Source organism: Homo sapiens, chromosome 14 (assembly GCF_000001405.40).
Source record: "Homo sapiens chromosome 14, GRCh38.p14 Primary Assembly".
NCBI lineage: Eukaryota > Metazoa > Chordata > Mammalia > Primates > Hominidae > Homo > Homo sapiens.
Genome location: NC_000014.9, coordinates 100878411 through 100905615, shown reverse-complemented (window position 1 = coordinate 100905615; position 27205 = coordinate 100878411). Strand labels below are relative to the sequence as shown.

The window sequence follows — 27205 nt, the reverse complement described above, 5'->3', positions numbered from 1 at the left end:
GAAATTTTCTGGAGTAGCAGGGAACTGATTCACAGGGGGCAAATGCCTCAAAGTGAAAAGGGAACTAGAGGGGCTGGATCCAGAGGGAAGAGAATCATTCCACGTTGAGTGGACGGAGGACGATGTACCAGGGTGCAGAGTGTTGCGGAACGAGACACCCGCCAGCTGCCCAGAGACCCTCCTGCAGCCCCCAGCGCTCCTCTCCCCACTCTCCCTCCCAGTCCCTGCCTCCCCGAGCCCTCCAGCTCTCTCCCTGACCCCTGGCTGGAAAAGGGCCTGAGGGTACCACTCTTCAAGGCAGAGCGGCCACCTGATGAGCCCTTCCCTGGGACTCTGGTCCCAATTTGGTTACTGGGACAACGCTGTCTCCCATTAGACACGCTTTGAAGGAAGACCCTGGAGTGACCGGCTCAGTCATGCTGGGAAGGATTCAGCTGTCTAGCTTTCAAATGCCTTTTTTTTTTTTTTTGGCTTTTTTATTTCTTTTGGAAAGATAAGAGTTGATGCTTTTACCCTAAAACTGTGTGCCAAGCCGCTCTGGCTATCCTCAGCCCCACTCTTCCCCTATCTCTGTAGCCCTCCTTTCCGTCCTTCATAGGCTGCAAGCTGACTGGCGCCCGACCCCAGGTCCACACCCACCTCCCTCTACCCCCTGGTCCATGCACCACTCCCGGCCTCCTCCCCCACTCTTCTCTTTCTGGCCCCGCTGCAGAGTCTCGGGCCCCTCGGCTTCCTGGGCGCCTGGCCACCACGCAGCGCCTGGAAGTGCTCCCTCCCTCATCTCTCGTTCCCCACTTTGGAAAGCCGGCCACCGGACAGGACAGCTCCCGGGACAGCTCCCGCAGCCTGCTGCATTGCAGCGCAGCCGTCTGTGAGGGAGGGGCGCAACCTGCAGCCCCCGCCCCCCGCCCCGACCACCCCCGCCCAGCAGCCCCCAGCCCCGGCACGGCCGGCTCCCCCGCCGCACCGCACGCATCTGTCGCAGTTAAAAGCGCCGCTGCCAGAGCAAAAGCGCCGGTCCCTCTTGACTGTCCCCCTCCTCACTTTTCGGGCTCAGAAATGTGGCCCAGGCAGCCCCCTTGTGGCACGTGGGGGCGCCACAGACTCTTGGCTGGTGTCTGAAGAATTCAGACTGTCTGATTCCACCGCACCGTGAGTTGGCACAAATCTTCGGTGGCCCAACTCCTACCCGATGCAGAACTCTGCTCAGCGGCCTCTCTGAGTGGGGGGCACCTCTCCCCTCCCCTCTCCCCGTCCACACCTCTCCCTTCTCCCTCCAGGGAGGAAGCGAAGGAACTCTCCTGTTGAATATTGCTCTGACAAGCAGACAGGTGTCTGGCAAACGTGATTGGGGTGGTGGGGGAAGGGGGGGGCCAGGAGGGTGGTGGGAATGGGGGCTTTTCTCGAAATGACGTTTGGTTTCCATCTCTTATCTCACAGATGGGAAACCGAGGTGCGGGGAGGGCCATAGTCCCTGTCTGTGTCAGAGTCAAGGCTGGAGATCCTCCTCCAAGTCCAGCCTGGGGCATTTCCCTGAGGTGCCGGGGCACCCTTAAGACGTACCCCTCTTCCCCCTCCCACTTGTCCAGCCCCTCCAGATCTGGTTCTCCCCGTCCGGAAGCCCTGGAGGGCCCCTGGATGTTCTCTGTCCTCTCTAACTCACTGTCCACACAAACAAGCCCAGCCCCCTCCGTCTCTATCTGCAATCTACTTGCAGACAGGCAGGGCCCTCTCCACATCAGGTTAATAATGCCATTTTCATAAGCCTCTGCCCATAGGTGCTACCACCTAATTTTGAATCTGCCCTTCAAACGGATTGGGCCACAGAGGAGCTGGGATCTCAAGCACCGCTGGGAGGTGCTTATAACTAATCAATCCGTCCCCTGCCCACCCACACCCCCCCAGCACTCGGCACAGCCTCGCTGAGCAGCCTTCAGCAGCAGGGTGTGGTGGGGAGCCTCGGAGAGTCTGGGGTTCCATCCTGGCCCAGCCTCACACCAGCTGAGAGACGGTGAGTATAGGACTTTGCCTTTCTGTGCCTCAGTTTCCTCATCAATCTAATGGGGCTCATGAGACCAGTGTGCAGGGTTATTGCCCGGGTGAGTTCTTTGCAGACAGCCCAGTTCGGGACTTGGCTCCAAGACGGGGCTCCATAAATCTCCATGCCTGCACCCCCTCTTGATCACCTCAATTTCCAGTGTCTTATTCCCTGTTTGTTTCCCCCACCAGACCGACTGAGCTTCGAGGACAGGAAGCCACCGGCATCACTAAGCCACCGGCATCACTTCATCCCCAGCCTCACGCTTGGGACTGGGCCCGGGGAAGGTAGGTACACTGTGGTGGCTTGGAGAATGAGTGCATGGATGGATGTCTGTCCCATAGTCTATGGGATGCCCGGACCCCGCTGAGTTTCTCCTCCCCAGACCCCTGTCTAAGCTGGCCCTTCAAGGAAGCCGCCGGGAAAAACTGTTCCTTTATGCCTTCATGCTTTACCCCTCGTGCTGTTATATACAATGCAAATTCTCGGTCTATTAAATGCAGATGTGGGCTCTGCATGTCATTTATGCTGCCTGCTGCATCTACTGTGAGTTCCACAGGCCGGGGGCTGCCTCCGGCTGACTTGATTTGTGCGATTAAGCCAGCAGAGGGGACTCTGCCAGGAGAGGTTCCCGTTTGTATTGGGAGCAGGGTCTTGAAAGGCCAGGCTGTTTTCTCTCTTGCGACACTTGTTACATACCTCTCTCTCCCTCCCTGGGTCCCACCGTCTACTCCACAAGCATTTATGAAGTGTCTGATGTGTGCAAGCCTACACTTATCTCATTTAGTCCTCACTTCACGCCAGTGACGGAGAAACTCTCATCTCCATTTCACAGGGGAAAAGCCGAGTCTGAAAAGTAAAGGGAATTGTCTTGCAGCTAGAGAGCAGGGAGTCAAGCCGGTCTGCCTGGCTCGGGAGCCCCCAGCCCTGCTGTGGCTGCCTACTGCTGCTGCTGCTGCTGCTGCTGCTACTGCAGGGCTGACCAGGGCTGGCCGGGAGGCCAGCAGCTCCTGCAGAAAAGGCAGGGGGCTGCATACAGAGCGTTCTCCCTAGCAACTGGAAAAGGGGCCATAGAAAACCCAAGAGGGCTGAGAAGCCGCTCAACAGATAGACATGGAGCAGCTGGCCCCAGGAGGGGAGCACCACGCCCTCCCCTGGGCTTTTAGCAGAACAGCAGGGCAAAGGGCTCTGTCCCAGGTCTAAAAGAACAGAGACAGAGGTGTTAGGACAGGTGTAGAGGCGCCCAATCCTGTTCCCACCATTGGTGGGGGTATTGCCATTCAGCACAGAAAGGAGAGGACTGAAAAGAGAGGGAGCCCACAGCCTGCAGAGATCGGAGGGCAGAGGGGGCAAGGGGGCTGCTGCACAGCCGAGGAGGCAGATGCAAAAGGCAGGGGAGGGCTCAGCAAAGCAGCTCTGCGTGCGAGCCCTGAGCAGGCTGCCTGGGGAGAGAGGGAGCTCCCTGTTACAGGAGGCATCCGAGGGGAGAGAGGCAGGCCAGTGCTTGGCTGAGAAGGCTGCAGCACGGTTTCCTGCCCAGGCTGGCAGCCCACATGTTTAGGCCTTTGAGAAGCTCCCACAGCACCAACTCCTGAGCAGGCAAGCGGGCAAGTGAGCGAGGTGGCCAGAGGGGACCAGGCAGGGGTCAGTATGAGGCCATTTGGCCTCTCCCGAGTAGCTTGCCCTGGGCTAAATGGCAAAGGCACAGAGATGGTTGGCGGGGTGCCTCTGTCCCAATAAGGCAATGAGGGAGAGGAGCAGAGAATGGGGTTGAGTGCCCAGGGCTGGTGGGGGGAGGTGGGGACTGTCCTGCTGCCAACTCCCCTCTTGAGGGCCAGAACACCTAGAGTGGCCAAGCACCTGCCCTGGCTCCTGAGCCCACAGAGGCTGGCCTGTGTCCTCTCTGGGGCAACAGGCTGGCAGAGTGAGTGGAAGGAGCGAGGAGGTCTGGCAGGTTGAGGGGCCCTTTTCTGGAGGCTGAGCAGCAACCACAGATGCAGCCAGCTGCCAGACTGTGACTTACATGTTCAGTGGACTCATGAAAGCTCCTCACACAGTGACAGGGCTGGGGTGCCGGCCTGCTGATGAATGCAGCCCACACGGGAGTCGGGAGCTGCCTCTCCTGGCCCATTCACAGGGGTTCAGTTCCCAGGAACTGTGGGACCTTTATCAGGGGACCTCTGCTAGACAAGGCTCTGTTCTGCAGTTTCCAAAGGAGTTTTCTGCCTTATGCTCCCAGTGCAGGCACTCAGCATGTGTGTGTGCGCGCATGTCTGTGCGTGTGCGTGTGTGCATATGGGGGATGGCTGCGAGGCCAGCCAGGGCTCCTTGTCTGTGAAATGCCCAAGGTCCTCGGGGGCAGAGATGCACCTCCATGGAGCAGAAAAATTTCAAGGAGGGCAGAGTCATTCAAGGATGGAGCCCATCCTCACTGCAGCCTCATTGTCCTGCTCCTGACAACCCAATCTGTCAGCCCTGGGGTCGCCACAGCTGCTCCGACCCGCCGTGGGGGGGCAGCATCGTGTTGCAGGTGGAGTGCGCAGGCTGGTTTGCCTTCCTGGCTAACAGACAGACAGACGGCCCTGGCAGCTCAGTTAGGCACTGCAAGCCCTTCGGGAAAAACTGTTTGTTTCTCGGGAGCCTCTGTTTTTGTTGGTTTTTGTTGGTGCTGTTGTTTTAACCTATTAAAAGGTTGATTTGAAGCTGCAGGTGTGAAAATGTTTGGGAGAGTGACATTTACATGTGTCATTTACATAAACGGGGGAGGGGGCGCGATGCAGGGTGCAGAACAAGAGGCACCCACATGGGAAATTCTGTGAACAGGGATTTCTGGTTCAGGATAGCTGGTGGTGCAGAAAGGGTTCTGAAGGGCTTTGGTGTAGATGTGAAAAGTCACCGACCCAAATCCCTATTTAGAGGCAGACGCCACAGGGCAGCAAGCCCTTTAGCCCCTGCCGGACACGGAGGGAACACTCCCCCTACACTCCTTTTTGCTGTGGTTCCCTTGCCCCGTTGCTTGAGGAAGTTAGGAAATGGGATTCTGGCATGAAGCGCAGGGTTAAATTGCAGAGACCTGGACAGCTCTACATATGGCCGCAGAGAAATAGCCCCAGTATCAGACATGTGCCTGACCAGGCTCACGCTCCCGAGTAAACAAATCAAACATTTCGGAGAGCGGAGCCTTTGTTCACAGCGGCCGAGGAGGTTCCCTTTTGTGTAAAGGGCAACGTGCAAGTCATGCTTCCACTAGGTAAGGCTGTACTAACACACAAAAAGCTCATTTAGCCTGAGCCCAGCCCAGGGAGAATTTTCTGTGAAATTTAGGAGAAGTCAGGTTTGGCCAGAAGTTTTTCCAGGAATTATGAACCTCTGGAGACTGTAACCACTGTTCCTTCCGAGTGACCCTTGCCAAAGTCTGTAAAATATGAGCCTCAAAAAATCTGCCTGTGGAGAAGTCTGACTTTTTATATGTTATTTACATAAAAATAAACTCTCACCAAACTTTTCGGGAAACCCGATTCAAAGTGGTAGGGCAGCCCCTTCCCCGGCCCCCAGGTGTTCAAGAAAGCACACTTTTCCCTGGGAAGATGTCTGGGAGGGAGGCGAGCATCAGCTTTTATTGCCCCTCACACTCTCTCTGGCATTTGTGTTGTCCTCTGTTGGGTCTCCCTGCCCTGAAAGGGAGCAGCTGCCCGTCTCAGGGAGGGGGTTAAGCATTTCATGACGGGGTAAGATGGGGAGAGCTACCGAGTTTTGCTGGGTACTGCGTGTTGGCTACTGTGCTGGATGATTTATTTGCGTTATTTCCTCATTGAGATCTCAATAGCCCTGTGTGAGAGAGATTATGAGTCCTTTTTTTTTTTTTTAATATCAGGAAACCAAGGCACAGAAACACTTGGGGATTTGCCAAGGACACGCAGCTCAAGTCTGTTCTGTAGCTGGGTCTGTGCTCAGGGTGGCTGGCTTCCTGCAATGCCTCCTTCTCCCTTCCCCTGGGAGAGAAAAAAAGGGACCAAAAGCCCAAACACTGCCAGTGGCTCCTGTTACTCCTGACAAGCTCCCCAGGGGGATGCTGCCTTGGCCTCACAGCTCCTCTCCCCCAAAGCCTGTGCTCTTTTTAGAATATGACTCGGTCCCAAAGGTCCCAGCACTTGCTCTCAGCCCTGTCCTTCCCCAGAGCCCCTCATCGTTACTCCAGTCATCACATGTCCTCCTCCTGTTCTGGGACCAGACCCGTTTACCTCTGGCAAGGAGGAGCCATAATGGCAATCAGCCATTTCCAAGCTGTAATCATACCCCGAACCTCATCCCCAGAACTCACAACACTGAGACGCTACTCCCGCGCTGTGGACCCCATGACTCTGGGTTCTGGGGCCCGGCACAAGGCAAGCATCAGGGGAACGTGGTATAGCGCAGGCTGGGGCAGTGGGGGGGTGCCAGCCTGAGCCCCACCCAGAAGGGTGTTTGCAGCTTTACAACACTGCAGACTTACCCAGCGCCACGGGACAGATGACACGATCCTCCGACACTGCCCATCTGCCCATCGGTGCAAGAAAGAATTCGAGGCAGTTTTCACTGAGGCAAAGTCAGACCCAGGCAACACTGGGGGAGCCCAGGGCTCCTAGAAAGGGACAAAGGAAGGAGGGTGAGTAACAGTTGACCAGTTTCATCAATTCTAGAAAAATGCAAAACATTCCCTTTAATTGGGAAAAAAATGTCAATGAGGCATCCCACTTCCAGGGTCAGGGCTTCGGTGGGCTTCTGAACACAGTGTTTCGTGGGGCCCATCTAACTTTGGGCTCCCCAACAGGGATATTTCAAGCCTGCTCTTTAAGGCCGGGGAGAAACTGGCTGAAAAGGCACGGCCGCGCAAAGCCTAAGAAGTAGGGAGCCCGCTGAGAGAAACAGGTAGCCCCGTGGGGGTGAGGTGCGCCTAGCAGGTAAACACCAGTGGGGAGGGGCTGAGGCTGGCAAGTTCCAAGACAGACCCTAAAGGGTCTTCCATGCCAGGATAAGGCCTTATTTTTTGGACCCCGTCCCGGAAGCTCCAGGAAGTCAGATGGAGGCTTTAAAGCAAGACAGTAACAAGGTCAAAATGCCATTTTAGAAAGATCACTCAATGAAAATAAACTTTTGCAAACAATTTAACCCACCACCCCATCTCTAAGAAGCTGGGGTAAAGGAACAGTCGAGGATGTGTTTACAGATTTAGCTGCAAGAATGCTCACTGCAGTGTCGTTGGTAACAGCAACAAAAAATGGAAACAGCTTAGATCTTTTTTATCGGGCATTAGTTGAGCAGAATCGTATTAATTAAAACCTCGATTTGTGACACGCTTCCTCACTGATCTGCATTAAGCACCATTTTTATGTATTCTTTTTTAAAAAATAATTTAATGAACACCTATGAATCTGTGACCCACCCTGACGGCTAGGACTGTGACCAAAGCTTCTCCTCCCCCAGAGCACTTTCAGCTGGGATTTTCAACAGTAGAAGAGTGTAATCAACAATGGTGCATACATACCGTGGAATATTAAACAGCTCTTAAAAGGAATGAAACAGCCAAGACCTATTGTCTTCTAATGGACCTCAGTGTTTTGTGCAGAACTGGATTAATCATGATCTTTTGTTCATAAACACTGTCTCATCATTGGTCCAGAAAAGCCCCCTTTTATTTTGCTAATTTATGCACTCATATATTCATTTATAATAATGTCATAAACACTCGTGAGCCCACTCCCCAAACCCAAATCTCAGCAATTACTTACACCTGCCGCCACCAATTCACTGCCCCCCCCCGCCCCCCACCCCCCCACCCCCCCCCCCGCCAACCAGGGTAAAGGACCTGAGGCTTTCATGCCAGCAGCAAGGTGGTTAAATAAACTCTGGTGTGTACAGCTCGCAGGATACTGAGGTGTTGTTATAAGGAATAGTGTTGATCTTTATTATCTCTAAGCAGACTCTTGAAGGAAGAAACACAAGCTGCTGCGAGAGGAAATGTACACTATGATATAGTTTATGTAAAAAATAAACAAAGTCATAGATTTTAGAGGTATATTTATCTACATATGCAAATGCACAGAAAAAAATATCTGGAACCAGACGCCTGAAACTGAGAAGAGCAGTTAATTTGCTGGGGGGTGATGGGGAGGGATCGAGGGAAGCATTAAAGATGGCTTTATCTGCAGTGTTTGATTTTTACTAATGCGTGTATTAATTATCAATCCATTTCTTGCATAATTAGAATAAACATTTTGTGTGGGGGGGATTTAATTTGCTTGTTCGCCTGTGGGTTGTTTTTGTTTTTGTTTCTGTTTTTACAAATACAAAGCAAAGGGCATGTTTCCTGATGGATTGGGAGTGGGTACATGCCCAGAGCAAGTTCTGCAGACACAGGGGATTTATTTTATCGCGAATATGTTTTTTAAAAAATATCTATATGCTCTCACTGGAGCCCCAAGCCTCCGAGCAGCCTGTCAGTGACATCGGGCTGGCAGGTGTGTGCCCAGGGCTGTGATTTCACCACCCACAGCCCCAAATCCCTCCCAAGCTGTCCAGCACCCACGGGGGAGTGCTTTACTTTTTGGTCTTTAAAAGGACCCGAAAGCCAATGCCCTGGCCGGTGTTCTTGGAGATTAGCCGAGTGGAATGAGACCTTGGGGGAATGTGACATGAGATGGGGCCAGGCGGTGGGGACAGGGACCTCTAGAGAGCTGCGGCCCGGCGGCTCGCGTTCGCAGCCTAGACGGCTTGCTGGTAAGGAGCTGGGGCCTCACTGTGCCCCCTGACAGCTTGATTCCTGTGCAAAACACACAACTGCCATGTTTCTTCCCGACTCTAACCCAGAGGGACTGTGGCTAAACGGCACTGGCATTTCTAACTGTCAGCTGCAGGAGAACGGGAAGCAACCTTTGCCCACCCTAGCCCACCCCCACATCCAGAGGAGGCACCCCGACTCCCGTCAGAAGCCCCTCTGTCCCCAGCTCCTGCTTGCACACTAAGCTTCAGGGCCCCCTGCAGCCGTCACAGGCTCTTGGAATCCTCAAACAGGCACAGGGTTACTTGTGTGACAAGGATGTGACAAGCATACTCCCATCTACGTAGAAAGGCACTGAGGCTCCCAGACACCAAGAAGACAAAACTAAGCCCACTTTACACCCAGTCGGGTGGCACCCTCGTCCTGCTCAGTCTCCATCCGCACAGATCACTAATTGGTTAATTGGTTAAATGTCTTCCCTCTCACCAAGCTAATGCAGACAGAGGCCTTCGAGAACTTCTTTACCCTCTGCCAGGCAGAGACCTATTTTCAACCATGACTTTGTGCGGAAGAAATCTGAGACAGGTTAAGCAGCCCTCGGCCTGCATGCCTCGCTCTTAATCGCCTTTCCTGCACGTGAAGCCCCACTATTTATTACACAGCATTTTAGTTTGGACTGAGTTTGATTCCTGTGAAAACCTTGAGGTGATTGCTATAGTTTTGCAATTTTTCTTTCTTTTTTTTTTTTTTGAGACGGAGTCTTGCTGTCACCCAGGCTGGAGTGCAATGGTGCAATCTCGGCTAACTGCAACTTCTGCCTTCCAGGTTCGAGCAATTCTCATGCCTCAGTCTCCTGAGTAGCTGGAACTACAGGCATGCACCACCACGCCCAGCTAATTTTGTGTATTTTTGTAGAGACGGGGTTTCACCATGTTGGCCAGGCTGGTCTCAAACTCCTGGCCTCAGGTGATCCACCGGCCTCGGCCTCCGAAAGTGCTGGGATTATAAGCGTGAGCCACCACACCCAGCAAATATGAAATATTTTTATGGTAAATAAAAATGCAGTGCCCAGACTGAGGTTACCTGCATCCAACCTGCAGGCTGGGGTAGCCCCACTTGGAGACACTCCACTCCTCTCAAAGTCCGCATAAACCCAGCCAGTACCAATGAAAGATATGCCATTGCCTCAAGAAAATGCCCTCTGCAACCTCACGTCGTCCTTCCCCTCCACCCCGACCCTGCTCCCCACACCTTCCCTTTGGATTCCAAAAAATGAGAAGAGCTTGCAAAAGGGCCATTCGGCGGCAGATCCACCTAAAATAAGTGCCTTTTCTACATGTGTTGAGCATCTACTATGTGCCAAGCATTTTATGTTTTATTTCCTTTAAGGTACCAATCAAGGCAACTCTTGAAAGTTGCATCCCCATCCTATGTAAGACGGGGAGGATGATTTACAGCCACATGTCCACAGTCATCCATCTCCCCTAAGCAAACCCTGCCCTGTCTGACCCCCACAGTCATCCATCTCCCCTAAGCAGATCCTGCCCTCTCTGACCTCCAGGTAGACCCCTGAGCCCCATCCCAGATGTCCCCACGCACATCTGTATATCATGGTGATAAACTTTAACACCGCCCTTGGTTTCACATAGCAGACAGACAAGAGTAACAGGGTTAGTGGGTTTTTGGATAACACACTGTGTTAAGGTTATACGACCCTGACTCCTCTCAGACCCTGTCTCCCAAAAGGGGCTGTTAGGTGGGAGAGAGAAGAGCACACATACCTGTCAGGGCACCAAGCGAGTCTGGAAGGCTGGTCTTCTTCAAAGTCAGACTAACAGGGCCCCTCACCCCTCCAAGCCAGGTGCCATCTTGGGGGCAGCAGGGCTGGGTCATGCCCTGTCCTCAGAAACCCCCTGGACCCACTGCCCACTGGGGGCAGTGAGCCTCAGCTGCAGAATGAAGGGCTTGAGTTAGTTCTATTCTAAAGAATCTACAAATTTGCAAATTGTCGAAATTTACACATTAGGACAATGAATATCATTTTTCAGACCTTTTGATTTGGTCCTGGGCCAGGCATCTGCTCCCTTCCCAGGAGAAAGCAGCCATCTCCCCTTCACGCCACCTGGGAGGGCAAGAAGAGAAACTGCTCACTCGGTGGCATGGCCAAATGGCATCTTGCCTCTCTGAGCCCTTGCCCCAGGCCTCACCTGCTGCCAGCAGCCCTACTGTGTGCTGAGGGAAGATGGGACAAAGGAGTCACCAATGCAGATTAATATGAAGGAGCAGGACAAAAACCCCATGGGGTTGCTGTGTATGGGGACCCAGGGCGGAAGGGATGAGCAGCCTGGGGCGCAGCCACTTGAATGGCGCATGCAGGTGGCAGGGTCAGGAGAAAGGAGTTGCAGCTCAGGGTGCTAAATTAAGATTTACTCAAAGTCCAACAGAGGCCGGGGCCCAGACTCAAATACACGTTTTTTTCTTTTCTTTTTTTTTCTTTTTTTTTTTTTTTTTGAGACGGAGTTTCACTCTGTCGCCCAGGTTGGAGTGCAGTGGCATGATCTCGGCTCACTGCAGCCTCCATCTCTCAGATTCAAGTAATTCTCCTACCTCAGCCTCCCAAGTAGCTGGGATTACAGGCGCACGCCACCACACCCAGCTAATTTTTGTATTTTTAGTAGAGACAAGGTTTCACGGTGTCAGCCAGGCTGGTCTTGAACTCCTGACCTCAAATGCTCTGCCTGCCTCAGCCACCCAACGAGCTGCATTACAGGTGTGAGCCACCCCGCCCAGCCAGACTCACATAAACTTTTCTATCCATTTGCTAGAGAGCAAAATGGTTGTCCACCAAGGGCAGGAGGCTTCCAGGAACTGAAGAGCAAGGCTGCAGGGCCATGGCCAGTGAGGACGCCAGCGAGGCTGACGCTCTGGCTGGACTTAGTCCTTGCCCAGTCCGGGTTATTAAAGTGAGCGTGGGCCCGGGTGTGAGGGTGGGTGTAGGTCCCAAGGCCTCGGATTCCTCTTCTGAAAAATGGGGATAATAAAAGGAAGGCCCTCGCAGCTTCTTAGAACGATTGAAAGAGTGAAAACCTGTAAAATGGTGAAAGCAGCGCTTGGCGCATAGTAAGCACTCAGGAAGCATCACGGAGGTCCCCAACGTAGCCACGTGGAAAAAAGCTCACAACAGAAAGGCACGCGAGCAGAGCAGGCTGGAAGACTGTGTGTGTGCACTGTGGTTGCTACTGTAGAAAATGTACGCATGTCAAAAAGACTGGACTTTCACAATTAAAGAAACAAATGTATTCAATAACTTTTTAGCAAGCAGCGAGGATCGAGTGGCACAGGACGGGAGGAGATCCACTTGAACGCTTGCAGCCAAGGTAAGATGTGGGGCAGAGGTCCCATGTCGACCTCCCCCAGGGATCGGGTGGGCAGGCAGGGGAGGTGGGGCAGTGAATGGGATGGCCTGGCACTCAGGACAAGGGTTAAAGTGTTCATTCGTCTGTAAGAAAAAACCATGACATGGTGGTGTGTACTCAAGGCCTCTATTCAAATACTTGAGCAGCTATAATTAGCAGGTCCTGGGCCAGCTGTCCTGTCCCTCCTCGAACACCAAATAAGCTAGAATGAGTTGGGAATGACAGCAAGCACCTTTGGGGGAGATGGAGGCAGACACTGAGACCCCCACTCTTGTGGTCTGGATGCCCCTCAGGCCACGAGGCTGGCAGTATCAACACCATGGAATGAAGATGGCATCTCTGGCTCTGAAGGTCCCAACAGTTTCCCAAATGGCAACTGCCAACCCCACTCTGGGCATCTGCTCCTGCCCAGGAGAAACCTGGCTTTAAACCCTGCCTCTGTCTCTCGGGGGCCTTGTGCCAGCACCTCGCCCTCCGAATCCCAGTTTAACTCTGTAAGACGGCAGCACATCCCCCAACTCGTTAGGAGCAAAGTCAGTTTTAGGGGTGAGTGGCTAGAATCACGCCTGACACAGAGCAGGTACTCAGAGACTCATTTGAATGTATTTAATAAATACATTCTAGTCGTCCCTTTCTGGGTCACATTCCGTCTTCCGCACGTACCCCTCACCAACTCCAGTCATCAGCCTGCCCCTCCCGGGGAAGGTCCTGTATGCTGGGTCTGTGCACCATTGTCGCCGATAATTATGGTTCCAGAGGAGCCACTTCACCCCTCTGGACTCTAGTTTACTTACTCTCCAAGCAGGGCATCGTCCCCTTGTGGGGTTAACGGGAAAATTAAAGTTGACACCATGCATGAAATGCTGTCCAAATCTTGACCATACAATTACAGTGGGTGTTCTGGAAGTAACAGTCGTAAGAATCCTAATGACGGTAGCTATCCCTGACTTGTCCATAGCATTTACAGTTTACAAAGGGCTTCACACACCCGTCTTCCCTGGAAGGAGGTGCTCCTACCTTTCTAATCATCCCCTTAGAAACTGAGGTTCTGCAAGGTTAGCCAGCCTCTCATCTGCCTTCTGCCCTCATTCTAGTTCCACCAGGCCCTGAGGTGGGGCCCTCCTTGTTTGCCTCAAAGTCTTCACCTTCCTACTCTAAGAACAGCTCCACTCCTAGGCCTGCAGCCACCTGGGCTTGTCCATGCAGCCCACTGGGTGAGAGTAGAGAGCCCACCAGAGATGAGCAGGTTCCACTCTTACACCCCTCCCAGCCCAGGTTGGAAAATCAAGACAAGCCATTAGAAGAGACCACATAGTCTGTGCTTTCAACCATTGCTCAGATCTGGCAACCTCTGTTTAAATGAAATAATACGACGACCCCAATTTATAGGAGCAGCTGGTGGAACTAAGGCAGCAATGGGTGTCCCTGAGCTCCACCTGTTGGGCCAGCCACCTCCTCTCATTACTGTTTCCCAGGGACCCCCGCAGGCACCTCTTAGGAACCCCAGAGCTACAGGAGCACAGTGAGAAGACCACCACCGAAACCCTCCCTGCAGACATGGGGAAACTGAGGACCTGGGAGAGGAAGGTCATGTTGACAGTCAGAGCCCATCTAGGCTAGGAGGCCGGTGCAGACCTGTCCCTGCCCACTTGCCTTGAAAGGCAAGATCAGCCTCAGGAGCAGCTGATTGGCCCCGCTGATTTGGGCAAGACAAGAAGGACAAGCTCACCCGTGACCCCTCGCACAGCCCCTCCCGCAGGCGGCACACGCCCCTTCCCAGGGTTATTCTGGGCAGAGTGATACAGCTGCCCCCTGGAGCTGCCAGTCAAGCATAGAGGGGGCAGGGACACAGCAGCAGGAGCGCTGCTGGGCCCAGGCACTCCCTGTCACCTCAGTGGCTTAGCAAGGTGAGGGGCTGGGGGTCCCTCTACAGAAGACCCCCACCCTGCTGGGTGGTTTGGGATTTAGACACGCCCTGGGGACAGCGTAGTTCTACTGTAACTCCCTGTTCCTCCTTCCAAAGACTCAGTTTCCCCATCACTACGATGAAGTCCGAGGCCCATGGGGCCTGGCATTCAAGGACCTCGGTCCAGACCATAGGGGAAGAGAGGGAATGTCCGAGACTGGGCTGCCCTGGGCCGAGATGCCAACGGCCTCCCACCCTGTAAGGCTCAAGTCGTCTTTAGCCACAAGTCAGGGGTGTGCAAGATTGAAGGGTCCCGGGGGGAGGGACTCCAACATAAGCTATGCCAGGCCAGCAGCCCCTGCAGACTCCACAGTCCACTGGGATCCCCAGGACCCAACCCAAACTCCTTATGAGGCCCTCAGGAAGCCCCCAGGAATCTCACCAGCCTCCTCACCAAGTCCCATCAAGTGAGCCATCCTTGACACTTGTTCATACCAGGGAAACCAGGAAGGCTTCCAAGCCTCAAGCTGCCATGGACACATCTTAACCTTGACACGAGTTCAACAAAATAAATAATAATAATAATCGATAAATAATAACAAACCCTCCCAGGGTCCCTGCATGTCCACCCTCACTGTGACGCTGTGCCTTCCATCCACAGGAGGCCACAGCAGGCCAGGCAGCAGAGGGAGCTGCTGGGGGTATTCATTTTGAGGCCACTTCCCTCCTAAGACCCAGTAGCTATGTCCCTCAAACCCAAGGAGCTCTGAGCACCACCTACAAGGAGGCCAAGATGGACAGGGATCTTCACCTGACACCCATCCTGGCAGCCCAGAGAGCCAGGGGCCCCAGGTGTGACTGGGCTAGTTTCTGGAGGCCAGGAGAGGAGGCATGGCCAGCATTCCAGAGAACCCACCTCTCCCTTACTCCCCTTTCCATCCTCACAGCCTCCCCACTCCTCACCAGCTTCACCTTCCTCCTCAGCCCCCAGCCTCCCACCCTCCTCCCCTGTCCTCACCTCTCCCCTAATTCCCCCACCCCGGCCCCCCGCCCCAGGCTCAACTCTGCTCCTAAATATCCTCTCATCTCCTCTTCCAAGCTCTATTTTTAAAATCAGATTTCCTTTACTGTACAGGCGAGCTGACAGAGAGAGGTATTTGCTGAGGGATTTGTCCCCCCCATGGCCCCCCCCACACCCAACCCTTCATAGACACACGTTGGCAGCCCTGACCCAATGGGCCACTGGCTCAGAGGCAAGCAAGGAGCTGACCCGACAGAGGCTCTGGGCACTGAAGGTGGTGAGGCTGGGGCGTCTGTCTCTTGAGTGTTGGGGGGAAGAGGGTCCCATTCGAAGACCTCAAAGGCAGTTGTGACCCCAAACCAGCAGCATTAAATTCTGGGCTTCTTTTTTTTTTTTTTTTTTTCAAATAAGGCGGGAATTTTCAAATCAGTAGATATTTCTTAAAGAAACTGTCATGAGATTTGAGAACAACATGTATTGAGCCACAGCTGAAGGACTGAGAATATGATTTCTGCAAAGCGCAGAGAAGAGGCAGGGCCCAGGCTATGGCAGGCCAGCTGGTAGGCAGGTGAAGCCAGATGGGAATCCCAGAGTGCCCATCTAAAGCCAGAATTTGGAGGCCCGACAGGCCCCAACAACGCCCAAAGCCCTCCCAGAGAGGCAGATGCTCAGCAGGTGTGGAGGGAACCCCCTGGCCCTGCTTCCAAGGCCCCTCACTCACCTCCAGTGGGGTATTCGTCTCCAGGACATGAGTCTCATCTCCTTCCTGGTGATGACCTGCAAGATGGGTCTGCCTCCATTTCCTTCCATTGGGGATCGAGCACCGTGCCTGGCCCAGAAAAAGAATCAGGACATGCTGCTGTATGAATTAATGAATTATGGGCAGAGGGACGTGGTTAAACAAAAAAAAGAAAAGAAACATTTGGGGACAATAAAATCGAAATGCATTTGGAGGCTGGAGAATGGGAAACTCAGTCTTTTCAGAGAGAAGCGTGAGGAACAGGAAATGGAAGCTGGAAACTGTAGGTGGTGAAAAGTTCTAGTTTCATGCGAAAAGAACTTCAGCTTTATAGTTTAAGTAGAGAAGAGCAATCCAAAGATTTTTAATGTAAGAAATAATTGGTCCAATTTTCATTTCATGCTCAGGCATTTAGATTTTATGTTGAGGACATGAAATTTGACAGGTTTGAAGCTGGGAGTGCCATGATTAAAAGTGGGTGCCTTGCTAAAATGGTGAGGCTTTTTGTAGTGATGAAAACACGTTGAGATTTTAAGCAAGAGTTTCATAATTTGAGTTTCCTGGGAAGAAATCTGGACTTTGTTTTGAGGGATGACAGGATCAAAGTTTTATATCATGCTAAGGAGTTTGGATTTTTGCCAAAGGGTTTTAAGAAATGTGATGATGAGATTCTTGTTTGTGGGAGATAAGTATGCAGAAAAACATGATAAAATATATTTTACGGGTAACGGCTTTGGGATTCACATTACAAGCAACAAGGAAACACTGGAAATTGTAAAAGTAACAGCCACCAATTTAACAATCATGCGCAAACATTTTGAATTTCTATCTTGGGGGAGTGCCAATTTCAACCTGCAGAGCTTGCCTAGGAGGTGTGATTAATGTTGACACCAAAGTTGAAAGATTTTAATCAGAGGAGTTAAATGATCAATATTGCGAATATGAAAAGAAATTTGGAATTTATTTTGAGGCTCCAACATGATTAGACTGTTGCATATGCCAAGGAATTTGATTTAGCCAATAAAACTTTCTAACAGAGTGGCCTGGTGAGTTTTTTGCGTTTGATAAATAGTATGCAGTGAATTACAAAATAAAATTCACATTTTATGCTAAGAATTTTGACTTTTCTTCCATTTACAACTAAGAGACACTGTAAGATTTTAAAAGGAGTTATAAGATCAAATTTTATATATTGTCCTAGGAAGTGTGAATTTGACTTTAAGGGATGACATGATCAAATTTTTATATCATGTTAATAACTTTGGATTTAAGCCAATAAAGGGCTTACAGCAGGAACAGGATGAGATTTGGGGTTTTTTAATAGATCATCCTGAGAGAAACTACATGGTAAAATGTCGCATTTTGTGTTAAGTAGTTGGGACTTTATGTTACAGGCAATGAAGAAACCTCGAGAAGTTTTAAGTTGAGAAGTTACATGCTCAAACAAGTGCATTTTGGCACAGCTATAAGACAGGATCTCTATGATAAAGATGATATGATCAGATTTTGCTCACATGCTAAGGAGATGTGATTTTACAAAAGAGTTGAAGGCATTCAAGTGCTGTGTTTGGAAGGGGTGGGGGATGAGCTCATTGAGCTCATTGTTGAAATCTCATGCAGAGGCGTTCGGATGTCAGCCAGTAAAGCGTTTTAAGAAGTAAATTGATGAGGGTTTTGTCTCCAGAGAAACTGGATTGTAAACATATTTTAAGTTAAGGTATCTGGATTTGCTGAACCAGATAATGAATAAGCATCAGACCACTCGTGAGCAGAGGTATCCCCTGGGCACAAGGGCACCCAGGCTGGGCTCCATGCTGAGGAGACGGGTCATTTATAGACAAAGCATGTTTTTATAAAAAGAAGTTATATGATTAAATTTACATAGCATGCTAAGAAGTTTGGACACTATTTTGAGGGATGACAGAATTACATTTTTATGCCATGCTAAGGAATTTGGACTTCAGCCATTAAGAGTCTTGTTTTTTTTTTGAGAGGGAATCTCCCTCTGTTGCCCAAGCTGGAGTGCAGCGGCGCAATCTCGGCTCACTGCAACCTCCAAGGTTCAAGCGATTCTCCCGCCTCAGCCTAGGAGAAGTAGCTAGGATTACGGGCATGAGCCACTACTCCCGGCTAATTTTTGTATTTTTAGTAGAAACAGGATTTCACCATGTTGGCCAGGCTGACCTAGAACCCTTGACCTCAAGTGTTCCACCTGCCTTGGCCTCCCAAAGTGCTGGGATTACAGCTGTGAGTCACCGTGCCTGGCTCATTAAGAGATTTTTAAGGCAGTAACATGGCAGAAATTTTGTCTTGGGTAGAGTAGTCAGAGAAATTTTATAGTAAAATGTATTGTTCTATGCTAAAAATAATTAGACCTTATCTCATAGGTAATTAAGAGATAGAATAAAGCTTTAAGCAGAAGTTATAAGAGCAAATTCGTGTATCTTGCAAGGGAGAGTGACCTTTTTATTTTGAGGAATGACATGGTCAGAATTTTATATCATGCGAAGAGGTTTGGAATTAAGCCAATAAAGGGTTTTAGGAGTGACCTGATGAGATTTGGGGGTTCGTATTAATCAGTTGGCAAGTAAATTACACGGTGAAAATTTTCATTTTATGCTAAGTGGTTGAAACTTTACAGGCAATAAAAATGAATTTTTATATGTGTTAAATAGAGAAATTATGAGATGACCTTTATTCATCTTGCTAACAGTTTAAACTTTGATGTTAAGAAGTATTAAGATTTTTCTAACATGCCGAGGATATTAGATTTTGAGCTGAAGGCAGGAACATTGAAGGATTTAATCATTCACATGGTCGAATTTGTAAATATGTTAAGCAGTGTAGACTTTATATTAAGAGGGGGCATAATCTAGTTTTTAAATCGTCTTGCTAAGAAATTTAAATTTTCACCAATAAAGAGTTTTAAGTGAGAGACATGCTGAGATTTTTATTCCTGATAGATAAGTCTGCAGATGAATTACTTAGTTTTTGTATTTCAATTAGAATTATTTATTTGTATTTCAATTAGAATTTTATATTAGAGGTTTGGAATTTTACAGTAATAATGCATATCTCAGAGGACTTTTATGGAGAGGAAATGAGTTAATTTCTGCAATGTGCTATGTACATCATGATGATGATGATGATGATTCTTATAATTCCTATACCATGCTGATTTGTATACTGTGCTTTAAAAAAATGTGATCTCTACCTTGAGGAATGACAAAATAAGAATTTTATATTATATTAAGGCCCTTACATTTTAACCAGAGAATAGTTTTGGTGAGTTTACATGTCAGATATGTTTACGCTAGAAGGTTTGGATTTAATATTGCAGACAGTAAATAAACAGTGGAAGGCTTTAATCAGAGAGACTGCATGATCAAATTTAAGTGTCATGCTAACAAGGGTGTACTTAATTTTGAGAAACAGCAGATCTGAATTTTGTATCCTGTTGGAAAGCTTGGATTTTAGCCAATGAGTTTCACGTAAGGGGGAACGCAGTTTTTTTTTTTTTTTTTACGGATGGGTCCAGTGGCTTAGAAGAAAACTCAGAAGTAACAAAAGGTGTTAAATTTATAAAGAGCAGTAGCTTTACAGTTAATCTATCAGATAATCAAAGCTTAATTTGCTCTGCCCCAGCAGAGAAGAAATGTGCAAATAACCCCAACCAAGACATTCCCTTTCAATTCTGTCTCAGCCCACTAAAACCACCCAACACTAGATTTCCAAAAATCCACTCTGGGACCGTCAGATTCCAAAGATGTCACATGTTCCCCCCAACCCCCACACTCAATGTCCCAACTCTGCCAGATACATGTCTGTTGGGAGGGCTCAACCAGCAACAGAGAGAAAAAGATATTTGCTAGAAAGAGGAGACCAGACCCACTGGCGTTAAGAAGGGGACCTGGGAGGATAAGATTGGAGAGGCGTGCAGATATGCTTGCACTGGTGAAATTGAGGCCAGATGTGTGAAGTTCCAGAAGCCTCACAAAGAGGGCAGTCCTGGGAGAGTGGAGATTGTAGGAAGAGAAGGAGATTATTTGAAGATCTCCTCAACAGCTCAGAGGTCGGGAGAACATAGCATTGGAAGGAGACCAAATCGAGAAAGAGAAATTGGCCAAAAGTCTGAGTTAGAATCAAGTAACAAATATGCAGTTATCCAGCACATAGTAGGTATGTTATAAAATTTATGGAAAAAAAAAAAAAAAACCCAGACCTGTACACACCCCCTGAAATTTCTATTTTGAACATGGGGAAGGAAATAAGAACTATTTTGGGCTGCTGACCCAACTGACGGGACAGTGGCCAAGTGCCCATTTTCTCCTCTTCCACTGCACTGGTGAAACAGTAGGCATCTTTGCTAGAGATTCCCGCTCCACAACCAAGGTGGCTGGGCTTGCTCCAGAGCCCTGAGCCTGCCAGGGGTGGCTTTGGATGGTGCTGAGATGTGACCTCTGTGATTCTCAGGTGACCAAAGCAGGAAAAGAGGATTGACCAGGTGCATGTGCCAGGGGGGAATGGAGCAGCCTGTGCACCCTGCCAGGTACCCGCCTGCCACGGTGGCTGCTCCCAGCCACAGAATTTATGGGCTGTGAATTTCTCACATCTATGGAGGAAAAGGACAGGACAGGCAGACTGAATAAGCCTGGGAGGCAGGTCAGGGGTTGACAGATCTTCCCTCCCTGGGGGCACCCCAAGTGACCAGCCAAAGAGGCTGGCTCGATACAAGAAGGCTTTCCCCCATTTCTCTCTGCTCTGATTAGTTGGGCATCTGATTTGTCCTTGAGACCCTGATACTGCCACTTCACAAGATCCTAAACTACTGCCTTTACTCCCCACACTCCCCTTCCACCACCAGGTTCTGATCTCCACGGTCCCAGCTACTGACTGGACGCCATCACAACCTTACCAATCTTCAGAATACACTCCTTTCCATCCGACGAAATGATAGAACCCTCTGAAGACTCATTTGAGACGATGATGGAGCATAAGAATCCATCATCAAAACAAATGGAGTCCTCCGAGGGCTCATCCAACACCACCGAGGCGACGTCGGGCAGTGGAGTGCGGGGAGAGGCAGGGCCAGCCAGCGGCCCAGCCCAGGAAAAGAAGGAGCCCCCCAGTGGCCCACTCCAGGAAATGGAAGAGCTGCCCACTGATCTACTCCAAGACATGGAGGAGCCATCCAGTGGCCCACGTAAGGAAATAGAGGATCCACCCAATGACCTACTCCAAGACCTGGAGGAGTCATGCAACGGTTCACACCAGGCAAGGGGGGATCCACTCAGTGGAGCATCTGATAGGATGAAAGAAGCATCAGTCAACCCATCGGGAGCCCGAGAAGAACAAGAGGCTCACACTGACCTGAAGGAATCGGGAAGGGAGGAGACTCCTCAAGAGCAAAACCAGACCGAGCACTCAACCGCAGAACTTATGGCCATGGTGAGGTCCATCATCTCGCTGTACTTCCGAATGCAAGACCTCAAAGAGCAACAGAGAGTAGCAGAAGAGATCTTGATCAAAGGGATCAATGCAGGCCAACTGCCCGCCCCAAAGCACTTCTCTGGCGATCGCAGAGAATTCCACGAGTTCATCGTACTCTGCCAACTGACCTTACAGAGCTACCCAAGAATGTTCTATAACGACCGTCTGAGAGTTGGCTATGTCATCAATCACCTGTCCGGCTTGGCATTAGAATGGGCCAAAGCTCTACTGCAGGAAAACAGCCCCCTGATCGGAGACTTCCCAGCCTTCCTGGAGGCCATGTCCGAAGTGTTTGAGTACCGCCAGGCACTGCGTGTGGCAGAAGAGGCCATGTTCACCATCAGGCAGGGCGGCCGCTCTGCCACTGAGTACATCGATGAGTTCCAGAGCCTGGTACCCATCTTGGGCTGGCCAGATGAAGTCCTGCAGGCCCACTTGTGCCAGGGGCTCAACGAGGAGATCAGGCACTATCTATTCCGGGTCCCTCAGCCGGATTCCCTAGACAGTCTGATTGTGCTCATCCTGCAAATAGAAGAGAAGCTGGCAGAGAGAAGAGCTATGCTCAGGCTGCCCCCCGAGGCCCGCCCCCGGAACCTGACCTGGATCGACTCACCTGCTCCAGAGAGGTGGATGGTCAGCAGCTGGTTGCCCAGCGAAGTCCATCCGGACATCAATCGCGCCCACCTCTTCCTGCTGCTCATGGTGAGAGTGAACCCCTACCACAGCGTCGCGGTCCAGGCCCTGGTGGATTCGGGAGCTGACGGCAACTTCATGGATGAGAAGTTCGCCCAAGAGCACTACGTCGAGCTCTACGAGAAGCCGTACCCACAGCCGGTCCAATCCGTGGACGGCTCGCTGATTGGCAACGAGCCTGTCTGGCTCTACACGGAGCCCCTGGTGTGTATCCACCAGAACCACCAGGAGTCCATCGAATTTGACATCGTACCTTCACCGAACTTCTCTGTGGTCCTAGGCATCCGCTGGCTCCGAGTCCACGCCCCCGAAGTCGACTGGATCAAAGGCCGCTGCACCTTCCACTCTCCCTACTGCCTGAAGAACTGCTTCCGCCCGCCCCCGCCATGCATTGCCCTAGAGAGGCACGGCATGAGCCTGCTACCCGGACTGCCACACCCATACTCAGACCTGGCCGACGTGTTTAACCCGAAGGAAGCAGATGATGAGACTTCCGACCAGCCAAGCTCAGACGGATCCGATGATCTTTCTGAATCAGAGCCCTCTGAGCTTCAGCAGGCTGGAGACAGTGATCACAGCGAGACCTTTTACGAGTGTCCCTCCACCGCGCCTTGGGAACCTGTGGGTGCCAGGATGCAAGAAAGAGCCAGGCTACAGGAGGAATACTGGGACCTGCAGGACATGCTGACCAACAGACAGGACTACATACAGATGATTCCGGAACTGTTTGACCAGTTACACGGAGCCGAGTGGTTCACAAAACTGGAGCTGCGTGGGACCATTGTGGAGGAAAGCGTGAACGGGCACCGCACCGAAGATGTGTGGAAAGCAGCGTTTGGTTTGGAGCTTGAAGAGATGAAGAGCTACCAGCCGTTTGCGCTCTCCCCAGACCCTATCATACCTCAGAACGTGATTCACTTCATCCTAAAGGACATGCTAGGGTTCTTTGTGCTTTCTTATGGCCAGGAAGTCCTGATCTACTCAATGAGTCAGGAGGAGCACCTCCACCACGTCCGCCAAGTCCTGGTCCGCTTCCGCCATCACAACGTCTACTGCTCCCTGGACAAGAGCCAGTTCCACCGCCAAACCGTGGAATTCCTGGGCTTCGTCGTCACCCCCAAAGGGGTGAAACTGAACAAGAACGTCATGACCATCATAACAGGGTACCCTACCCCTGGCTCCAAGCTATCTCTGCGAAACTTCATCGAATTCGTCTTCCCCTACCGCCACTTCGTGGAGCGCTTCAGCATCATCGCAGAGCCCCTGGTGCGGCAGCTGCTGAGCTCCTACCAGTTCTACTGGGGAGTCGAGGAGCAAGAGGCCTTCGAGTGCCTGAAGAGGGCTTTCCGCAAGGCGCCTCTCCTCCACCACCCCAAGCCCCAGAACCCATTCTACTTGGAAACCGGCGTCACCGGCACGGCCCTGCACGCCTCCCTGATCCAAATCGACGACCAAACCGGCAAGAGAGCCTGCTGCGCTTTCTACTCCCGCAACATCTCCCCTATCGAGGTTGAGTACTCTCAAGCGGAGATGAAGATTCTTCCAATACGGGCTGCCTTCATGGTGTGGTGCCGCTACCTGGAGAACACCGAGGAGCCCATCATGATCCTTCTCAACACAGAGGATCTAGCCTCTCTGAATAATGACAGGCTCACCGTACTTCTCCCCGGGCATTGGGTCTTCTTCTTCTCCCACTTCAACTTTGACGTCATGGAGCTGCCAGAACAAGACGGCGGCCGAGCTCTGCCACCTGTGAGAAACCTCCGGTGGAGGAGAGCCTTCCAGAGGAACACTGCCGCCAGGCAAACCCTGCTGCTGGCCTCAAGGGGATTCCCCAGGGATCCATCGACGGAATCCGGGGAAGAAGAGAATGAAGAACAGGATGAGCTCAATGAACAGATCCTACGGCAAGAGCTGCTGGCCATGATACCCATCGACCAGATCCTCAACAGCTTCCTCGCCCACTTCAGCATGGCCCAGATCAGGGCCGTCATTCTGCACTTCTTCCGAGGCCTCCTGTACTGGAAGAACACCCTAGCCCTGGCAGCCATCCTCGTGCTACTGCGCGTGAGGCAATGCCTCTCGCTGCGGCCGGCACCCGCCATGCGGGTGGCTCGGCCCCAGCCCCAGCGCTCCCTACGACTCATCCTGGATTCGTCCCTCATCGCAGGCAGCAGCATCACGACAGCCATCACCCAGCTGCTCACCCAGATGCCCGCTCTCGTAGGTGCAAACACCATCCCAGCCCAGGAGCTGGCTGAGCTGTTCCTGGGCCCTGGCCGCTGGCAGCGAAATGCTCTGCACTCCCAGGCCCACCGAGGCCTGCAGTTCACCCCTGGCTTCTGGCTGACGCTGTGTGAGTTCTTCGGTGTCAGAGTCACCCCCCAGGAGGGCCACCTCCCTGCCCTGCGTCAGAACCGCTACCTGGAGCTGCACGTCGTTGGTGATGAGGATGTCGTCTTGCGAGAAGCCCTGCAAGACGACCTGCAACGTTACCGTCAGTGTGGCCTGCATGACGGCCTGCAAGACACCTCGCAGGACAAGCAGGACAACGACGTGCAGGAGGCCCCACCCAGCCACACAGCAGCCACCCACCCACCCCGCCCACGCCACCTGATGGATCCCCAGGTCCTGGAATTCCTTGGTAGCCGCCTGCTCCACATCCACAGTGCAGATGGCCAGCTGCACCTGCTCAGCCGGGAGCAGGCAGCCAGGGCCCTGAGCCAGTTCCTGACCCTGATCTACAGGCGGGCCCTGCCCATCCCCGCCTGGGAGAGCCAGCCCAGGGAGCAGGCAAGGCTAGAAGAGCTGCCTGATGAGGACGAAGATGCTAACCTCGACTGAAGACGCCTCCCTGTCTCCAGCAAAGAGTCCCCTCTATTTCTCACCCCAACACCTCCCGACGTCCCCTGGCCTCCCCGCGCCTCAGCCTGCTTCGCTTCCCTTCCTGCCACTCCTGACCCAAGAGGAACCCACTTGTGAAGGGCAACAACTTCTTCAACTCATCAACCAGCAATGCCACCTGTGCTAACGGACTACCCAGTCCTCAGAGACCCAGCGCCAGCCCTGGGCTACGAGTTCTCCGTTCTCCAGGTCCCAAGCCCATGCCCGGGAGTGACATCCATGAGGGAGAAAGCAGTGGTGAGCAGGAAGTGACCCCATGACGCGTGGCCAGATGAAGAAGCAGGCACAGCAGGCGCAGCCAAGCAAGCAGGTGACGGGGCCCCCCACCCGGCCTGGTGATGGCCACCCTGGGACACTGACCTCGGGTGCTCCACTGACTTCTTCTACCTCCACTGCCGGTGCTCCTGCTCCCCTGAGCTCCCGCCCCCGCCCCCCAACCCCCATCCCCCAACCTCCCGACATCTGATGATGTGGTGCCTCCCTCACCCCCATCACACCCTGCAAGCAAACCCACCCCCACCCCCACCACATCTGCTTCAGCTTTTTTGACCCCGCCTTCCTCTTGCCCTGAGCTCTGGACTTACCTGGACAAAGCCGCTCTTTGGGGCATCCGGACGTACCAGTGCCACTTACCAGACTTGCACAGCAAAGAGGGCCCCTGCATGCCTTGGGGCGCCTTTCCCTCCCAACACTGAACACTGGACAGTGCAGGGGTGCAGGGGCCCCTCATACAGGGATGGAGTCCCAGAAGGCACACAGACACCCAGGGGACCATGCCGAGTCACAGAGAGGCTCTGGCCACACCACCGCTTTGCAAGGGGAGTAGACCCTTCCCCACCCCCCGAGCTTTCTCACCCCCCAATCTTTTTGCACTCCTCAAATAAAGCAAACTAAAAGACTGTCTGACTTTGGGGTTTGTTCTAAAAGTGGAGGTGGTGGGAGGATAGGCGGGGGAGGGGACACGCATGGGAGGAGGGAGGGAGTAGGTGGGGTGGACGAGGGGGCAAGTGGACTGGGCAGGAAGGGTGGGGGCAGGAAACGCTCTGCCCTGAAACAGCCCCTGGGGGCCTGGCACATGGGCAGCAGGCCTCCCCCAACCTTCCTGAAGGCGTCCCCACCAAGACTCTGGGCACTTCTTTCTGCCATGAGAAGGCACCCACCCCCACTGAGGCCACCAGGGACGTGCACCCCCCACAGGCTCATGTCAAAGAGAGGACAGAAGAGGTGCCTTAGGGCAGTGGGAGGCGGGGGAGTGGGGGCTGTCTCTCCTAAGGGTTCCAGAAAAGGGAGCCCCGAAACCCAGTTCCCACCTCTGGCCTTGGCCTCCTCGCCATGTGATTAACGAGGTGCGGTCTGAGCCCCACACTGCAGGGTCCACAAGCCCTGGTCTCAAGCAGTCCCTAACCCCCACTCCGAGAGGAAAAGTCCTGGGTCCCATTTCAGAGGGTCATGCTGTCCCCAAAGTGGCAAAATGGCTGTTGTGAGGGTGAGGGTGCACTGCCCTGGGTAGGGGAGCTGCCAGGGGTCCCACAGGGAGTTGGGGAGGTAGGGCAGGTGGCACTCACCCACTCTGAGTTCCCCCTCCACAGTCCAGGACATGCTGACCCCTCTTCCTGGCCATGGGTCACACCTATCCAGGAGTGGCCTCCAACCTCCCAGAGCACCCCCGCCCCACTGCACCCCTCCACAGGTGAGAGCTCTGCGAGGACACAGAGGGGAAGGAGCCGTGGGCCTCTCTCAGCATGACCTTGAACTTCATCTAGGAGGGCAAAAACACTGGAGCTCTGTGCACACGGGCCCCCATGCCAGGACACACCAGCTCTGCCCTCTCTGCCCTGCTGAGGAACCTGCTCCTGAAGACACACCGTGAGACCACCCAACAGATCTCAGGCTCAAAGCTCAGGGGCCCCGCAGGGGTCTGACTAGCCTGAGTTGGAGCCACCCCATCCCCTAGGAAAGCCATTTCCACCTGGCCCCAGAGTTCTCAGCTCCCACATGGAAGAGACCCTACTGTGTCCTCGAGGGGAGGCACGGGAGCATGACAGCCTCCAGACAGTGTGGCTCTGCCTCCTGCTCCTACCCATCGTGGACCAGGACCACTGGGCACACAGTGGGGAGCCCCTGACCAAGGACACACCCCACGGGAGCCCAAGGCTGGCACTGCAAGCTCAGCCTCCTTCCTTCCCTGCACTGCCCAGCCCCACACAGGGCTCACGATGCCCTCACAAGTCCCCAGGGGTG

General features: G+C 52.5%; 1 protein-coding gene, 1 long non-coding RNA gene and 6 other non-coding genes across 9 annotated transcripts in view, besides 4 other annotated features; 1 reads left to right on the top strand and 7 right to left on the bottom strand.

Moving 5' to 3' along the window:
- MEG8 (maternally expressed 8, small nucleolar RNA host gene) overlaps positions 1-15967 on the bottom strand; it is a 109465-nt gene extending 93498 nt beyond the window's left edge. Inside the window, exons 1-5 of the long non-coding RNA NR_146000.1 lie at positions 15860-15967; positions 10846-10917; positions 10577-10744; positions 7884-8023; positions 6531-6659 (exon numbers count right to left, since the gene is read on the bottom strand). This is a non-coding gene — a long non-coding RNA (maternally expressed 8, small nucleolar RNA host gene). The remainder of the gene's footprint in view (positions 1-6530; positions 6660-7883; positions 8024-10576; positions 10745-10845; positions 10918-15859) is intronic.
- On the top strand, positions 1894-25863 carry RTL1 (retrotransposon Gag like 1). 2 transcript variants are annotated; one of them, NM_001134888.3, is made up of 4 exons: positions 1894-2011; positions 2230-2325; positions 12111-12172; positions 20742-25863. In NM_001134888.3, exon 4 carries the CDS (start codon positions 20828-20830, stop codon positions 24902-24904), a length of 4077 nt encoding a protein of 1358 aa, NP_001128360.1. In that variant the 5' UTR covers positions 1894-2011; positions 2230-2325; positions 12111-12172; positions 20742-20827; the 3' UTR covers positions 24905-25863. The 2 variants fall into 2 exon arrangements, with proteins under 2 accessions (NP_001128360.1, NP_001412214.1); NM_001425285.1 differs by lacking the exon at positions 12111-12172.
- SNORD112 (small nucleolar RNA, C/D box 112) lies at positions 7620-7696 on the bottom strand. The gene has a single exon (NR_003080.1). It is a non-coding gene; the product is annotated as a small nucleolar RNA, C/D box 112 (small nucleolar RNA).
- Positions 14035-14536: an enhancer, noted in NCBI's record as "H3K4me1 hESC enhancer chr14:101357417-101357918 (GRCh37/hg19 assembly coordinates)". NCBI's record gives its function as "activates a minimal SCP1, AML or CMV promoter by ChIP-STARR-seq in naive H9 embryonic stem cells {active_cell/tissue: H9 hESC(naive)}" and the evidence as "EXISTENCE:reporter gene assay evidence [ECO:0000049][PMID:30033119]".
- Positions 15962-16131: an enhancer, noted in NCBI's record as "experimental_33604 CRE fragment used in MPRA reporter constructs". NCBI's record gives its function as "activates a minimal promoter by MPRAs in K562 erythroleukemia cells, with activity observed for both the introgressed and non-introgressed 14:101355907 variant alleles {active_cell/tissue: K562}" and the evidence as "EXISTENCE:reporter gene assay evidence [ECO:0000049][PMID:34662402]".
- Positions 16791-16960: an enhancer, noted in NCBI's record as "experimental_33596 CRE fragment used in MPRA reporter constructs". NCBI's record gives its function as "activates a minimal promoter by MPRAs in K562 erythroleukemia cells, with activity observed for the non-introgressed 14:101355078 variant allele {active_cell/tissue: K562}" and the evidence as "EXISTENCE:reporter gene assay evidence [ECO:0000049][PMID:34662402]".
- Positions 19630-19924: a silencer, noted in NCBI's record as "tiled region #13483; HepG2 Repressive non-DNase unmatched - State 21:Repr". NCBI's record gives its function as "represses a minimal TATA promoter and a strong SV40 promoter by Sharpr-MPRA in HepG2 cells {active_cell/tissue: HepG2}" and the evidence as "EXISTENCE:reporter gene assay evidence [ECO:0000049][PMID:27701403]".
- MIR136 (microRNA 136) lies at positions 20833-20914 on the bottom strand. The gene has a single exon (NR_029699.1). It is a non-coding gene; the product is annotated as a microRNA 136 (primary transcript).
- Positions 21040-21133, bottom strand: MIR432 (microRNA 432). Its single transcript, NR_030173.1, has one exon. It is a non-coding gene; the product is annotated as a microRNA 432 (primary transcript).
- MIR127 (microRNA 127) lies at positions 22541-22637 on the bottom strand. Its single transcript, NR_029696.1, has one exon. It is a non-coding gene; the product is annotated as a microRNA 127 (primary transcript).
- MIR433 (microRNA 433) lies at positions 23638-23730 on the bottom strand. The gene has a single exon (NR_029966.1). It is a non-coding gene; the product is annotated as a microRNA 433 (primary transcript).
- MIR431 (microRNA 431) lies at positions 24496-24609 on the bottom strand. Its single transcript, NR_029965.1, has one exon. It is a non-coding gene; the product is annotated as a microRNA 431 (primary transcript).